The following is a 17,816-nucleotide window of genomic DNA, read 5'->3' as shown; positions in this document are numbered from 1 at the left end:
GAGAAGCCTGGCTGGAGAGTGAGAACAGGACTCCATTGCCTATCTTTCCACTCTGTTTTGGCAGCAGTTAAAAGAGTTGGAAAGAAACAAATATTTCTTAAATTTTTTGGCCTTTTGATACAATCACACTGTGATAGCGCTCATTAAAATGCCATATTGCCCTCCGAATGCACTCAGGAAGTGATGCTATACTGCTCAGGCACACACATGTGGACTCCAAGCGACTTCAAGGAGAACCTGGATGGTGCCCAAAGTGCCCACATGTGTCTGTTTACGGGGAAGAAAAAGATTCACAAATTGTGTCTTTGCAATCTGACTTTTAACAATCCAGCACTGTGCAGAAACAAAAGCCTTATTTTCAGGAATAAGAATCTAAGTCAAGTATATTTTCTCAAAGTGGATAAAAGCACACACATCAAAGGTTTAGGCTTTATTTAACCCTTAAGAATCTCTAAGAGCTTTCTGTTCCTTCCTTTGCCTTTCAATGAGTCAACTGCACAAAGGATAGCATAGGTTCATACTGTCAGGTACCAAAAGCCACATGTTTCCCAATCACAACACCAAATTGGATTAGTTAAATTTGACTATTTTTCTGCTAAAAAATAAATCCAGAACAGCAAACTGTGATGCCTCAAAACACCTTTCGTAAGGGTTTCCCACAACATGTAAATTGAAACCTCTTAGGTGAGAAAACAGTTAAGAGCCATAGATGGCCTCTCTTCAGTCCTTAAAAGAGAGGCAGCAGAATAAAGAGGCAGCAGAATTAAAGGAGAGACACTGAGCTAGCAAAGTGTTAAAACATGAGAAGAACAAAGAGACCCACTTTCTGAGCAAGATGAGGTTTTACTTCTGCTCCTTAAAATTCCATTTTGGGGGAGCTGTGTATCAAAGTGCTGACTTTTTCCTCTGGGATGCTAGTTTAGGCTTTACTTCCAGCCTTGAGGGATGCAGATTTATTGATTTGAACATCCAGCCAAATGGACAATAGGCTCTGGTCAAAAGACAGTGACTGGCTTCTGATCCACAGGGGCAACTCCATATTATCTCTGGTTTGTCCCAGAGGAACCGGGGCTCCATTTGGAGCACAGGTGAGCACAGGCTCCTTTTGCCTCAAGGAGAGGATTCCAATAGTTATTCTAGAGCACAAATATTCATTGCAATGCTACATCTGCTGTGCACACATGTGGTATGTTAAATTACTGAACGGTAGACTTCCGAATCTAAGGGCTCATTCCTTACTGTGCTTCTCTCTCATTGAATTCAGAGTTCTTTTTCAAGGTAGAGGAGGAATTCCCACCTTGGCAGAAGTAATATAAACAATACATTGCACTGGTCCTGAATGGCCTAAAAATGTCACTGCTTTGCTTTGGCTAGAAATATATGCTGTTCACTCACACGCGGGTACCAGGTGTCTTTCAAGTTGTTGGCATTAAAAAAAACAACTGAAAGAAAAGAATAAATAACAACTGTTTACCTTACATCCTGTCGAATATAGACTACTGGAAAGTAGGAAGTGGTCTTCATTATATGTATGTTATATATGAATCAAATATGCTGTTACACGTATTATATATAATATATATTGCATTTATTGTTATCGGACATCATAAACAATGCTCAGTTCACTCAGTATTCACCAGGGAAAAGAAAAGGAAGCAAACATTTGTTAGTCACATTACATAGCTCACATGTGAGAGAGGTATTATTTAATCCTACTTTGCAGATGAGGAAACTGAGGTTCAGAGCATTTAAGTACATTGCTCAGTGTCACCTAACTAACATGTGGTAGAGCTGAGAACAAAGGATCCTTTGACTGCTTTTCCTCCCACTGCTGAGACCACCTGCTGGGTATTTTAGTTGTTTCACACCTCGATATAGCTGTGTGGAATCCTTGCCTCTTCCAGCATTTCTTTCCACACGAGTGAGTCTCATGCTCTTTCTGTTTAGAAAGCACCTGTTGACTGCAACAGAAAGCACCTGTTGAGCTCTTATTATACATCAAGCCCAGGACAGCCTGAGGTTCACAAAGGGGAGTGAGACAAGGTTCCCAGTCACAAGCTGCTTTCTTAAAGACGACTCATCTGTGGGATCCAAGACTAAGAAAATGAATAAAGTTGAAAATTAACTTTATAAAACAGAAAGCCCCAAGGCAAAGGCAGTTTCCAATTTAGGATACCCTGAATACACAGTGGGGACCCCTGGATGACCCAGCTCCAGACCTCTTGCAGGTTGGTGTTGTTTTGGGGAAACGCGTGGAGTGCTCGATTTGGAAAACATGCAGTCAAAAGACCACCAGACTTTGAAGAAATTCCCATGAGTTGGAAGAAGATCCTAGAGCCCAGAAGTGGACAGGGGACCCCACGGGTAATAAATAATCCCTAGTAGAACCACATCTCCAAATAGGCAGCTGGTATGTAAGACTGGACCACACCACATACAAGCTGGCCAGAACACTGACCCCATTTCCTGTCCCAGAGTTTTTCATTCAGACTTCCATGTTAGCTTTTTCCCCCTTCTCTGGTAGTATATACATACCATTTTATATAGAAGTCAATGTGAAAATAAGATAGTCTACAGAAATTTATTTTATAGTCATATTTACCTGAAAGTACAGCCTCACTTACCTGAAAACACACCCCTGATGTTGGCAGGGAAACCCACAGTGCTTCTGTTATGGCTAATTATGATGTGAACCTGACTGTTTACTGGGCAGTGGGAGACTTTTAAAAACAGGCTCTTAAGACAAAATAATAAATGCTTTGTACAGGTATTTCTTTAGGTAAGGAGGTTTGTGTCGGGAGTAGTAACGATGATTAAAGAATCCCTTAATGAATTTAGAATATTAAAAGACCATTTAGAGACCGCAGACACTAATCTGGTGCAATCATGTGTTTTATTTCTAGGAACATTTTATTTGTATCTCCAGAGAAAAGGCATTAAAAAACATTTGTACTCAAAGGAACTTGATGGTTACAAATATAGTTCAGAAATTCTGGTTGGGGATAATTCATAGGCCATGAAACCCTTCTATGTTAATTTCAGGAAATCATTGTAAATAGGTTCTTTGCTCTTTATTTTATGTATCATTCATATAATTAACAATTAATTTTTAGTAGAACCACATACAGCTATAAATATGATGGGCTGATAATAGAAACTAGTATTTAGTTCCTGGAGTCAACAATGCTTAGAATTGTTTTTAAAATTTTTTGTGAGTAACTGCACCTCTTCTGGGTCCTTCACTTTACAATACTGAAATCTTTATATTGGTTTTCTGTGAATTCCAGACGCTTAGAGGCTATGTTGCTTCACTGCCTTAGCTCCAGAATTTAGCTTCATATGAAGCAGAGATACATATTTATAGGGAAGTTAATTATTCTGATGGACCTGAGACCTGGTCCTGAATGATCTGTGGATAAACAACATGGTTTACCATTTGCTATGGCTCTCGGCTGCTTTGCTAACCTTCTTTCATTTCACAGTTGGCTGCTGAGTCTAGGTGAGAAGGACCAGCGTACGCTGCCTGTCCACAGAGCTCTTATCCTATTCAAGGCTCCAAAGAAATGGAAATGCTTCTGCTTTTATCCCCATGTGCCAGACTATGTAACACATGAGAAGTAAAAAAGATTATAGATTTTTATGGTTTGCTAACATACTTGCTTATATCCAGAACATAACAACTAATATCGTAAGAAATCTTCATCAGTGACGCTCTTGATGGCATCCTTCAAAGTAGAACAATTCAGCTTGTGAAATTTGCTAGGACCAAATTTGCTAAGTGTACATTAAATGACAGTCTTAATTTATACAATTAAAAGCAGTAATGCTTATTAGGGAGGCTGAGGCAGGAGAATCGTGTGAGCCCAGGAGTTCGAGGCCAGCCTGAACAACATAGTAAGACCTCGTCTCAAACAAAACAAAACAAACCCCAAATAACAAAAGAAAACAACAGTGGTGCTTGGCTGTATTGATCCTGGCTTCTCTGTGGTCTAATTGAGGAACAGAATGAAAGGACTGAGCTGAGATATGGGGTTTTTGGTGTTGGTAATCTTGTGGAATGATTTAGTAAAGAAGAAAATCAAATTCTGGTATTTTCCACTGGCTTCCTAAAGTGAATCTTTTGTTGTTTGTTTTTTAAAAAGTGAAAAGAGAAACTGGAATTTTCTTCCTCTTTCTGATTGTACTTCGATGACTATTCTGGCTGGAAATGAATTCAGTGCTATCACTGAAGAGGGATTGGCCATTCATTACTTGAATTTGCAAGATCAAAAGGTGATTACACCGAAATCTCAATGAGTTTTAACAGGAATCATGGGAATGAAGTTGTCTATGAAGAAGGTAAGTATAACTAACTAAAATATGAAAATAATGTCTAAAGTGACTGCCTTGAAGGTAAACGCAGATATATTAAGGTGATTTGAATAAGGCAAGGAATGTAACTAAACCATGGAAACCACTGTGCTGACCATCTCTGTGCCTTTCTGACCTATCATATCAGACAGCAAAAGATAATAGACTCACATATCTTCTGTTTTAGCCATCTGATTGATGTATCAAATAATCACTGTGATTGTTTTTTTCTTTAAAATAGGCACTCAGCCTGTAATCCTAGCACATTAGAAGGCCGAGGCAGGCGAATCGCTTGAGCTCAGGAGTTTGAGACCAGCCTGGCAACATGATGAAGCCTTGTCTCTATCAAAAATACAAAAAAATGTAGCCGGCTCTGGTGCCACATGCCTGTGGTCCCAGCTACTCAGGAGACTCGGGTGGGAGGAACGCTTAAACCTGGAAGGCAGGGTTTGCAGTGAGCCGAGATTGTGCCACTGCACTCCAACCTGAGTGATAGAGTGAGACCCCGTCTCAAAAGTAAAATAAAATAGGTGCTCAAATTTGTTTAAAAAATATTTGAAAAGGTGTAATTCAGTGCTGTCTTGAAGTGAAAGGTTTTATGCAAGTAATAGATTGTGGGTATCAAAAAGCAAATTATATCTAGTACATGAATTGTCACTGGATGGTCATTTTTTTCAGACACAGATTTGTTCTATATATTTTGAGATGCCTGGACATTTGGTTATAAATAAATATAAACATGTTCACATATGCTCCTGTAATTACTAACTGGGGATGAAACATTTGTTGGAGCTAATAATGCTACCATATACATGTCCCAGGGCAGAAGAAAGTGTCAATAGCTTTTGTCCAGATAAAGCCTTTCCTTTCCCTCTGTTCCAGAGTGCTATCAACACATGTGATCTCTCCCTTTCTTAGGTTCTTTAGGTGAAGTCAGAGGTCAGTAGCTGGCATCTCAGCCAACAAAGGGCAGACCTTGTCATTCTGCTTTTTCCTAAGCAGCACAGAGTGTTAGCCTGCTGGGAAGGTATAACTTAGTGTGCATTTTGAATTGGGCTATTTGGAATAGATTGCCACAAAACAATCTACTTTTGCTACAGAGCCCTTATCACCTAACACACCTGAGTAATCGCTGGGTAAACTGCTTTCAGTGAATTAGAACAATGTGGTTTACTGAAGTTGTATAACAGCCATAGCATTACACATCCTACAAGGGATTTGCTGTACCAATAATCTAGGTTATGCATGATCTATTCAAATACACTGATGTGCTCATCGAAAGTAATTCCAAAAGAAATCTGGAGTTGGTCATATTGATAATCCACTCACTAGAAACCTTGAATCGATAATCTCAGTATAATTCTAATGTGCACAATGATTATTTACCCACTCTTTTGTCTTAAATAGCTGAAGATGTGTTAGAACAAAAATAATTTAAAAATGGATATATTCCACCATTCACTACATTTGATGAATGACGGTCTACATCTCAATGACTATTAGCCTTATTAAAATTAGCATGCAGAATTGTAGACTAATTGTAGACTAAAGTGGCCTCAACCATATATAGCAATAATACGTTCAGCCACAGCTGTCACCTCTTACTTAGTCTTTCTCAATGTTCGATGTCAAAGGCATCCGAATTCCCAACAACGATTGCATGAAGGGATAAAGATACTGATTAATTTCCAAGTATTATTTTTTCACTTGGCCCTCCGCCTGATTTCTTTTAAGAGCTGGGCACATGAACTAATACTTACTTTCATTACTACAGTAGTAGTTATCTTAGTCTAGAATCAGAAGACTACAAGATGATCAACTTCACAGTTGAGAAAATTTCCACAGACTCTTATACAAACTTGTAGGATATTTTGAATGAAGTCCCAATAATTTAAGAAGAATGAATCCCCCTGACAACTGTTGCTTAGACCTAACTTAGATTCTAAGTAAATAGCAACCTCCCTGACAAATGACAGTAGCCTGAAAAAGTGAGGAAGTACAATGTCAGATGGTATAGCCTGGAAAACGACAGTGCACAGGTTTGGGACCAGCTGTCTTTGTGCCCCTTCTATGTTCTTATTTTAGTTCCCTTTTCATACTTTTCTTCTGTTTCTTCTTCACTTTTCCTTTCATCTTTTGGTTTGCATTTTGCATTCATCCATTTAGTGAAAGAGGGGCTGATGGCTGCAGGGAGAGCGTGGACCGTACTTCGCAGCCAATGTTCCCGTAAATCCTACTCTAAATGTATTTGTATGTGAACCCAGGGCAGTGAACCAACTCTGAATTCATTTATACATCTGACTCAGGGGGTGTATAATGATTACTGACAAATTTTGAAGACCAAGAATGGCTCTGAATTTGTGTTGGCTAGTGTAAATTTCATAGGGTTGAATATTGGGGATAGACTCTTTTTGCCTCCAATGAGATTTGCTCATTCTAGCCTTGACCCTTCCCAACAAGTCAGATTTGTTTTATTGTCTTGCTTGGGGGTTGTGCTTTAGTAGCAGGATGACCTACTTTAATTTCTACTTAAATGTGTCACAGCCTGAAAAGTGACTTCCCCTAAAGGACTGAGTCCTTAAAGACTCAAACTGGCCTTTGAGACCAAATGGAAGACTTGTATCCCAAAGCAAATAAAAATATATTAAGGGTTTTACAAACACAACCTTAAGTCTTTATCATTTTCTGTATGTGCCTTCTACTCTCATTACAGGTTAACTATACTTGCTTAAGACATTTGCTGCTCCTCTCCACTAGATTTTTACCTTTCTGACTCCTTTCCTGCCACGACAGGAGCCTTTCATGAAAGTGTTAGCCAATATTATTTTGCCTTTTCCTAAACAGCACACAGACATGACCCACAAGGCAGGCCTAATGTACTAGACGTAGACATAGGTCTGCAGTTTATCAACATCCTTAATTTCACATGAGCTAGTGACTAGCATTAATCTCAATACTGTATAATGCAACAAGCTCAGCTCTTTCTCGTAAGCTCAGCAAGGTGCAAGTAACGTATCCTCACAGGCAATGAGCAAAGAAATCCATTCCTTCACAGTTTTCAAAAGGCAAGTCTTTATATTGGGGCCCCTAGTGATAACTATGTCATCACAATTAAAATTTTCAAAACTATCACATAAAATCAACATATTGAGCAGGATAAAAATCCCTGTCCCACATAGCTTACTATACAGAGTAAAACCTACAGGATCTGCCACAAATCATTTATGCTTGCTTCTTCAAGGCTGAAATCTTTTGGCTTACTAGAACACACACAAGGAAATGGTAGATGTAGGGAGTTATCCAGCAAGTGATTGGAAGAAACTTATTACTAATGCCCCTTATAGTATATTAGGAAGTTTGAACGGATTATTCATAGGCTTAAACACTTAGCTACAGGGTGATGCCTGGTAGAGGAAGTGTTGCGGTGTTGGAGGACATGGGCTGAAATATTAGGACTCTTCTCACCACTTTTCTGCATAAGTCAATCGACAACAGGATTGCAGATGCAGTAAGCAGCCAGAGTAGTTTAAAGAGAATGGATTCTTTCATATCTCTGCCTAGGGTCTTTCCAGGGTTCTCACAAAAATGGGAATCTGGATATCGTTCCAGCCCTAGGTAAAGCACCAGAAAACAGGCAGGGGTTTCTATGCTATAGAGGTAGACTCCTGGCCTCACTAAGAGGTGTGGCAGAGGAGGCTTCTAGAGTCAGAAGGCCTTAACAGGAGCCCCCAGAAGAAGAGGATTGAGGAATGAAGAAGAGATGCATCAGGCAGATGAACTACTTCTGAGAGCAGGTTCCCTTGACTGCGATCATTGCTAAGGAGCACATTCTGTGGCTTTCAGCAGGAATGGACTTGCTTCAGCTCTTGAAAAAATCCTCAGCAAGGGAGATACACTGCCAGAGGCCATATCTTATGGCTCACAGATCTGGCACTATACAGTGACCTCTCTTGACCGCACCCTCTAGTTTTCTTCACCATGAAAACCATGACTCTATCAGAAAGTCCCTGGTCAGATTCAGAGGGACTCTAAAATGAGACAATGATAGAGAAGATGGAACAATCTATGGCCTTGTTTTCTCAATTCCTTCAGTGATGCTAAAGAGCCTATGTGGCCAGAGCTGAACAAGTTCCATGTTCAGCTTTGAAATGGGAACACTTCAAACATTTCAAGAGGCAGCAGGCTGTAATGCAAAAGGACACACGAGCTTTGAACTCAAATAGACCTGAGCTAGAATTCTGACTTAACAACTTCACTGTTTTCTCATAGGAAAATGTAAAGAACAACATCTATATATTATTCATTTCAGTCAATAGAGTTGTTGAGATGATTGGAGTTAACACACGTAAAAGTGTCATCGTACAGCAGGTATATAATAAATGGTGCCCATGATGACTATTACTTGACTTGGGACCCTGATTTAGGAAGAATGTCTGCTAGTAATTGTGGGTTTTATCTACTCGTAAGGAGAAAAATACACTTGGAAGTGTAGGATAATCTACTAAGGGCAGTTAAACTAAATGTGTTACATAGGAGACAGGAGACTAATGTTACAGCAAGAAAAAAACTCAATAGTCATGTCTGAGATAAGGTTTCATCATAGTCAAAAATATTTCCCTTTACAACTCAAAAAAACAAGTTTGGAGACAAACAATTTTAAGGGAGAGAAAGACTTTGTTTACTTCAGGGATTGCAGAAATTAATGGAAAGAGACAAATTAAGGAAATACAGGGTGGGACACTTGGGCAGAACATTAATGTCAATGAGAAGATGAAAAGAATCAAACAGAGACATAGGAGAAAAATGATTTTTATAAGCATGACCATTTTAAAATAAGAACTATTCTAGGATCTATATACACATACCACAATATATACATACATACATACATATATATATTATATATACACATATATATAATATATATATACACATATATATTATATATACATATATATATATATATATATATAATACACACACATAAACACATACATGCATATGTTGTCTTAGTGGGCCCGGGCTGCCATAAAAAAATACCACAGATTGGGTGACTTAAACAACAGAAACTTATTCTGTCACAGGCCTGAAGCCCAGGAAGTCCACAGTCAAGGTGCCTGTAGGGTTCAGTTTTGGTGAGGTCTCTCTTCCTAGATTGTGGAAGGGTGTGGCTCACCTTTTTTGCTGTGTCCTCACATGGCCTTTCCTTGATGTGTGTGCATGGTGGGAGACAGACATAGTGAGAGCGCTCTCTCTGTCTTCGTCTTCTGATAAGACCACAAACCCTACTGGATCAAGACCTTATCCCTAAAATCTCATTTAACCTTAATTACCTCCTAAAATCTCCAAACACTGTCACATTGGGAATTTGGGCTTAAATATATAAATTGGTGGTGGGGGCACAATTTAGTCTATGGCACACATATATATGTATGTGTATTAAATATTCACCAGAGCTGGGTGCAGTGGCTCATGCCTATAATCCCAGTGCTTTGGGAGGCCAAGGTACGAGGAATGCTTGAGCCCAGGAGTTCAAGGCTGCAGCAAGCTATGATGGTGCCACGGCACTTCAGCCTGGGTGACAGAGTGAGACCCTGTCTCTAAATATAAATAAATAGACCCCAAATCATAAAAAGATTTTAATAATAATATTAACAGTGACAGATAGCATTTATGGAGGTGGTCTCTGTGCCAGACCCTGGGAGAAGGACTCTACATGAACTAACCCACTCAATCCTCAGCACCTATTCCTGATATAGATATATATATATATATATATATATATATATATATATATATATATATATATATATATGCACTTTGCCATACCTGTCTGAGATGAAGAAAGTGAGATCACACAGCTGGGAACTGAAATTCAGGCTGCCATGCAGCATGTAGTGCAATTGACTTGGACCCCATTCTTTCATGGCAGAGATTCTTGAGTTTTTGATATCAAACAGCTGCCACTCACTCCCCTGTAGGTTTGAATTCCCTGAGACATAGAGCAGAATGATAGTGCTCAAGGTGATGTTCAAAGCAGAGGTGGGACAAGAAGATGATTGTTGTCCTCTCTGATTGAGATGAAGCCAACCTAGAGGAGGTGGCTGGACTTGACAGTCAGCTAAGTGTGGTTTAAGCCAAACCTTGGTGGATCATAATCCACTGGGTAGATCCCATTCTGTGGGTGCAGTGTTTTACAAAGGGTGACTCCTGGGCCACTCTTTCCCTCAAGGAATTCTTCTATGCCCCCCAAATACTGGAAACAGACATCTAGTAGTCCCAGAAAAATCAGTTGTATTTGAACACTCCTTCAGGCCAAAGTGTAATGGACTGATATAAAATCTATAAAGAATGTGAAGAAAGAATGGGAAGGTTCTAGGTACTAAAACAGTAAAGATAGCAATAGCAACATACTTCTATTGCTAAGTTTCTACTTAAACATACTAGCAGTATAATGGGTTTATACTGATTCTGGATTATTTCCACTGTCCCCTCTTCATATATAACTGGAAGCAGATGAAAATGGGTGTGGGCTAGAGGGGAGACTGTTCCTAAGCTTCCTCAAACTCAGTTTGTGTTTCAGATGAGAGCTGGGTCATGAGAACACAGAAAGAGATGAGGGAAGGAGGAAATGAACACTTGGCAAGGTTCTCTTTTCATCAGCATGCGTTCCCTTAGCAACTGTGCCCTCCAAGCACAAAGCACTGGCCTGCACGTTCATCATCATGGGGACAGGAGGGCATGTCTGGGGGTGATGGGGAAGGAGAAAAGAAAACACCTGATGCTAAAGCCTTTCATCCCCTTGACAATTTTTCCCAAGTCCAGTTCTGTCTACCTTCAAATAACACCCACGCACTGAGGCCTGTGAGTGACTTCAAGGCTGCTGGCTGCCTCATGCTTGGCAAGCAGTGGTCACAGTGTCTGTGAGAGTATCTCTTGCTCTCTGTGGCCCTGCAGAAGGCCAGCACCTCCCTCCCATCATGTGCGTGCGCACTCAGGCAAACGTGTACCATCCAGTTCTTTGTTTACACGGGGCAAGTGATCAACTCAATATTTTTTACTTAAATGCCTGTAAAGTGGAAGCCATGGACATTTGATTTTAGAATCCTAAGTTAATTTTTCTTCTTATCTGGCACTGTTTAGATCTCAAGTAAATTCAGTTCTGGGGATTGCCACTTTATTGAAAGAAGAACTTAGAAAGGGCTCAAAAGGGAACTGAAAAAAAATGATGAGATGATTGAAAAACAAGACTAATAGGAAACGGCTGAAAGGACTGCATCCCTGAACCTGGAGGAGCTTGAGGGGCGACGAGAACACACAGGAGGCTTGTCTGCCAAGGCCAGCAGCCACCTCTCTGTTTCAGGAAGGGCAGATGACGTGTGGATAACTGGGGTGGGAAAGGATTCAAGGAAGTGACAGTGAGGACTCTCGAGGACAAAAAAAGGGCAACTGAGGAAAACTGTGTTGCCTCCTGGTTTGACAGTCTCACAGGCCAGACCTATACTGCTGGCGAGTATGGCTTGAGAAAGACCCTGCCTAAACGTTGAGGTGTGAGAGACAGGCAGACACTAAATGATCACTAATTTTGTGAATATATGTTGTGTTCTAAAGTTGTCAGGAGAAAGCCATGAAGAGTTTCTGGCCAGCAAAACTGAAATTTGCAGCCAAATATGTATATACATTCATACTAACTTCATCATGGTACCAAGCAAGCTCTTCAGACAAACATAGTTCAGGGTGAGAGTCAAATAGGTGGCTACTACAAAGGGCACTGTCTTGAGACGGAGGCTAACCTGCCTCAGTGAGATGTCTATAATGCTGTTATAAAGAAAAAAAAATTAACCTGCAGAGGGAAAAAGCTAAACCAATCCACTACAGTGAGTGGGCAGGTATGCACATCCCCACAGTCTGTGGTTTAGCTGGTAAATTGGAAACTACAGCAGATTTGACCCAAATCCAAGAAGGCAAAGCATGAAGATCCTCCACCACTCCAAGTAAGCATTGGAGGGTCTTATGGACCAAGCAAGAGAAAAACTCCTGGTGTTTGTACAGATAGCCCTTTCATTCCAGGAATTTTCACAGGCATTATTGGCCTCATTCTTACATCCTCTTAGAGGTGTTCACACTCTTCCCATTTTAGAGACAGCCACTGAGCCAACGAGTATCCTTACACTGTCTCAGGGAGTGCATCGGTTTTCCCAATCACATGTTCTATGCGTGAAGCTAAGAAAAGTGTAACCTGTGGGCAGTGATCAGGGATGGTTCAGATATCTTAATTACCTGACTATTTAAGAACCAGGTCTCTATCCAACCCCAGCCTGTCACTGCATCAACTGCTCTTGCCAATATGACAGCTTTAAGCGGCATTTACTCTGTTGGTGAACACAGTGTGTGGGAAAATGATTTAGCATCATGAATAAACACATATGCTTGCTTGGGTCCAAATTTTAGAAGTGACAAACCCATTTTCTGGCCCAAGATTTAATGGACTAGAAACAAACTAAAAGGTGCATAATTTACTATGCATGAACAAGTAACTTCCTTTGCAGCAAGTGAACTCTGATATCAAGTGCTGCACTTAGAACTGCTGATTACAGGTTGTGTGTTCCTATTACTAATGTGTGTGTGTGCATGCACACACACACACACACACACACACACACACCTCTAAACATACCCCAACAATAGTTCTTTCATTCCTTGAAACATAACTGGGTATAGAACTGGTTGATCATGGATGCCTAATACCATAAAGTAAAGAAGAAATCCTGACTTGGGGGGGAAAACGCATTAAACAAGAGATTAATAAAAAGATGCTAGTCCAAGCCAGCAACAAAAAGAGGTGTCAGGAGATAATCCCTCTTCAAAAAATGCAACTTCCACGCCTGGTTTCTTTAGCTTGAAAGTGGTGTCCGCTACCTGTCACGTTTTCCCCAATAGACAGTCTCATCATTTTACTTTTAGTCTTGTTCCCATTTTATGTTTACATTTTATTTTCTCGTTCCCTTCCCTGAATCCCCTGCTTCTAGTTTCCAGCTCAGTGTTTACAGAGACCTTTACTAGAACGAGGGAGGTTGAAGAGACCCCATTTTTCCCCCTTCTCTTGTCATGCCCATTCTTTTTTTCCCTATTCCCAGAGAATAGATAAGTTTACCCAGAAAATAAAAAGCTAATACAACCTTTTGCTCATCAACAAAAGTATGTCTTGTTGTAGCCAGGAATAAGTTAATAAAACAGGGAAAAGGCTTAGTGGCTTAAAAATAGGCTCCTTGGGGTTATGAAGGAACAATGTTGTTTTTTCTTCCCAGCGTGCAAGGATTTAATTAAGTGATAACAGTCACCTTGGGGTGGCTGCACAAGGCAATAATATCTAGGTGAAGAAAAATGCTGAAGAGAGTTGAGTACAGTCCATTTATCTTCAGAGAAGGCAATAAATGAACAAAGCATAGGTATTGGGCTGATTGTTTTGCAATGTTTCCATTACTGATAAGCATCAGAAAAAAAAGCACAGAGATTTGGTATTTTCAGTTTCTGAAATGTATTAAATACAGAGAAAGGAAATGAAAAAATTGCTGTGAGGTCACATCCTCACATTCTCATTACAAACAGTTTGGTAATTATTCAAGCTAAACATAGAACAAGGGAATGTTCACATTGACACAAAGGATGCGGACACAGCTGAGTCGTTTATTTGTAAGCAAACACACAAAACTTGGAAATTTCTGTTCTGCCAAAAAAGAGAAAGCAACCATAAAGAGAGGTGAAGGCAGAGTGAGGATGCATTCGTGGTCAGCCTCAGAAACAGCAGACTTTCTCTGTTCAAAGGTCAAGTTTGAGGAAATTTAAAGAAGTTTAGGGGAATTAGTACACAAGTGTTATGATAGAAGAATATCCTAAAAAACAAGCAACCAAACAAAGACAAACCCCCCAAACAGTGACCTTATTAGCCTGCATAATATTAAGAACTAACTGTAGGGTTAGAATAAAATTATTGAAAGCTCAGGCCCACAGAGAATGTTAACAATAGAAACATGCCATTGGTTTTCAAAGCAAGGTTTGAAAGAAAAGTGTGCATGGATACTTGGGTGATGAAGCCAACACATTACTTTCACTTCTTTTTGTGGGACGTGGGGCTTGGGGATGGGCAGAAAGTAAATGGAGAGTCTTTTCTTTTTCTAGTACCGTAACAGCAACATGAAACTTCCTTCTATACTGCTCCAGTCTTTCGTCAGTGGATCCCAAGGCACCCTGCGAAATTAATTAATTCTAACACTACCTCTGCTTGGTATACAGAAAATGAGACACTGAGGTTAAATGTAACTTGTCTAAGACCACTCAACCTGTTTGCCGTACAGTTTTGATCCCTAATTCCCACACTTCTTGTCTACTTAATTGCCTTCTTGGAGACCACATCACCTCCCTCTTAAGAGTTCATGTTCATATCTCTCCAATTTCAGTGGTGATTGAAAAAATCCTGCCCTGAACCCCTGCCCTCCACTTCCCTAGCTATGCCTCCAGCCATACTCTTCCTTCAGTGAAAAGTAGACCCAGCAGAGCAGCAAGGTTGGCATCTCTGTTTCCATCTGGCTCAGCCCATGCACACCGCAATGTTGAGACAGGAAACGTTTCCTTCCCCTACACAATCTTCTTCTCCCTCACTCACCTCTCCCCCTGAGAGTCAACGAGCTTCATTGATTCCCCCTCCCTCCGCAGGATACACAAAGAATAAGAGTCAGCTAGATGATGCTTGAGAGGTTGCCTGCATAAGGAAAACAGTAAACAACTCAAAAGCAAATAAAATAAAGATAAAATCACAAATGCTTTGTCACAGAAATCCTATCATCTTATGTGACTCTATGACAGATTTGTAAATTATAGAATGTTGGGGGTGGGTAAGGTTTGATGAGATTTTCAAGAAAAAAGTGTAGGGTCTTACAATTATTATGAGTACTTGTGCTGTCTTAAGGTTGCATTACAGGGGAACTGCTTTCTCAACTTACCGAAAAACAAAAACTTTTCATTTTAATCAAGCCTTTATGTAAGTAAATTCAAAGGCAGTATTGAGGAGAAACGGGATGCCACTCTCCTAGGTTACCCTATCTTTTCCAAATACTTGTCAGTGCTATCTAATATTAATAATAATAATTCTCATAAGTCCTAATGCCAAGGTTTAGGTGACAAGTCTTTTTGCAACAGCAGATTTTAATATTAGATAACTTGGGGTTTTTCTGTTGACAGCTGTCCAAGACTGACTACTGTAAGAGACAAACTGCTTAAGGAATTACTTTACTCTTCTGTTCCAAAGAGAGTTGTAAACTGCTGAATGCAGGGATATCGGAGTTTTATTATGTTTTGGTTTCAGTGCTGCTGTGCTAACAGCACAACAGAGCAGGGAGAAGAAGGTCTGACTCTAGCCATATACTTCTGAGCAGAGGGAACTTCTCAAGGTTCTTTTGGTTTAGCATTATTAGTTTTCTGGTATTATTGTGTGGGAGTGGCCAGTAACCATTGGGTCCTTTAGGACCTTTGAGCTACAAGCCTTGTATGGGTCTACTATCTAGGGTCCTTAAAGTGGGGCTGAATGGGATAAGGACAACCAGTTAACACCCATGACAGTACCTACATACATAACAATAAGAGTTTCTTTTTGGTTGGCCAAAATGACACAAAAGGGACTCATATATTCATTAATTCGTGTTCCAATGTAAAGTGGTCTGCACAGGTTTATGGTCTATGCCACCACAACCCGATGCTTAGCTTATGGGCAGGGAAGACTAAAGCTCTGTTGATAATTAAAAGCTACATGAACCACCTGGCTGAGGCAAGGTGACCAGCTTGAGACTCCAGATGCTAGCTCAGATCGTCAAGGCGAGCAGTGCTCTGTGCTCCATAAGGCCCTTAAGCCCCCAGGCTCCCCTCTTCTCTGCAGTGGCTTGCCTCTCAAAAGAGCACTCTCCTTGGCATGGGTGTCTGGAGTGACTCACGAGCTCACAGCTCTTCCCGTCCAATGTCAAATGGGTCCCTACTCTCCCAGCACCAGTGGTTTCACAGTGGAGCTCTAGGGGTTGGGTATAATTGAGAAGTTAGAGAATGATTCTGTATGCTTATTTTTCTCAACTACCTTGCTCATTTAGCATCATTATCACCACTCACGATGGCTCTCGCAGTGTGATCATTTAAAATAAGGTTGATGATCTCACTGGTATATTTAATATTAAGAGGCTTTGGTTTGAATATAAAGAAACTACAATTCTGATTAACGTCCATTAATCTATGAACTAGCCATATTTTCAAACAACTGGCCAATTAAAAGTTTATGCCTGTGTTGAAACCTCCACTTACCACTTTACCATTAACAATAATCCACCCTAGGAGATTTTTTCTGTTTGAGCATATCAAAGTGAAACACTGATTTGTTTCATTTTAATCCTCAAAAGTGAATTGGTTGGCACATTCTAATGTGCCCTAAATTAGGGAAGCTGCCATCAGTTAAATACACAACAATTAAAATAGAGCAGAAGTATTAATGTAGGCAAAATCTACTCATTTATTGATCTTAAGCAGAAGACAAAAATGTTCATTTATTTTAGCCACAGAAGATTAAATTTTCCTTCCAGGAACATTGTCTACATGGAGGGGGAAGATATACACCATCATATTGACTTACCATTCCTGTCAGATATATTAACTTCTAGGGATTTTGTTGTTTTTTCGTAACATAGCTGTACTGCTGAAGTATGAAAATATTTCAGGAAAAAAGTAGACCAGTAATTGAATAGACTGTCAGGAAAACATACACCAATTTCTTTTTCAAAGAGATGGGTAACTGAATTTTCTAGACATTGTGTGAAATGTCTAGAAAATTCAAATGTCTAGAAAATTTGACTAAGGTATTTGAGCAATATCTTAGTCAAACCTTTGGACCTATGTTTTAGTTGGAATTGTAATCCGTTATATAATTTTATTGGTAAACATAGAAAAACTTGGCTACATCTTCTATTTATTATGAAAGGTTATCTTTTTACCATATCTGAAAGTAGAATTTTAAAAGCATAACAGCAGGAACCTCCAAAGCATAAAAAAGCACATAAAATAACAATGAAAACCAGTTCTCAAATGGGCAACATCTCCAAATCTTGCATTATAGTCTAGCTTTTATCCTTGGTGGTTTAGCCTTGAATCTCCCATTAGTGCTGATGGGAACTGCATAGCTAAAGCCCATGCATCAAGTTGAGGAAACACTTCTTCGTATTAGTTCTGACTCCAGTGTTATAACACAAATCATGATAATATTTTTCTATCTCTGCATTTCATTGGGAAAAAATACAATCTAGCACTCTGCACAGTCATAAATTATGACTCTATTCTTCTACTGTTTATGATTATTACCCTATTCCATATAGAAAATAAAAATCTTTTAAAATAACATTTTAAACTATGGTTTTTAACAAATAATAATTGTAGTT

At 39.7% G+C, this 17,816-nt stretch overlaps 1 protein-coding gene across 19 annotated transcripts in view, besides 1 other annotated feature; it reads right to left on the bottom strand.

Annotated features, from left to right (window-relative positions):
• NPAS3 (neuronal PAS domain protein 3) overlaps positions 1 to 17,816 on the bottom strand; it is an 869,389-nt gene that overhangs the window by 250,062 nt on the left and 601,511 nt on the right. The window lies entirely within an intron of this gene.
• Positions 1,508 to 2,143: an enhancer, noted in NCBI's record as "OCT4-NANOG hESC enhancer chr14:34021175-34021810 (GRCh37/hg19 assembly coordinates)". NCBI's record gives its function as "activates a minimal SCP1, AML or CMV promoter by ChIP-STARR-seq in naive H9 embryonic stem cells {active_cell/tissue: H9 hESC(naive)}" and the evidence as "EXISTENCE:reporter gene assay evidence [ECO:0000049][PMID:30033119]".

Source organism: Homo sapiens, chromosome 14 (assembly GCF_000001405.40).
Source record: "Homo sapiens chromosome 14, GRCh38.p14 Primary Assembly".
In the NCBI taxonomy this organism is placed as follows: Eukaryota; Metazoa; Chordata; class Mammalia; order Primates; family Hominidae; genus Homo; species Homo sapiens.
Note: the sequence above shows the minus strand (reverse complement) of the source record. Positions and strands in the feature narration are given on the sequence as shown.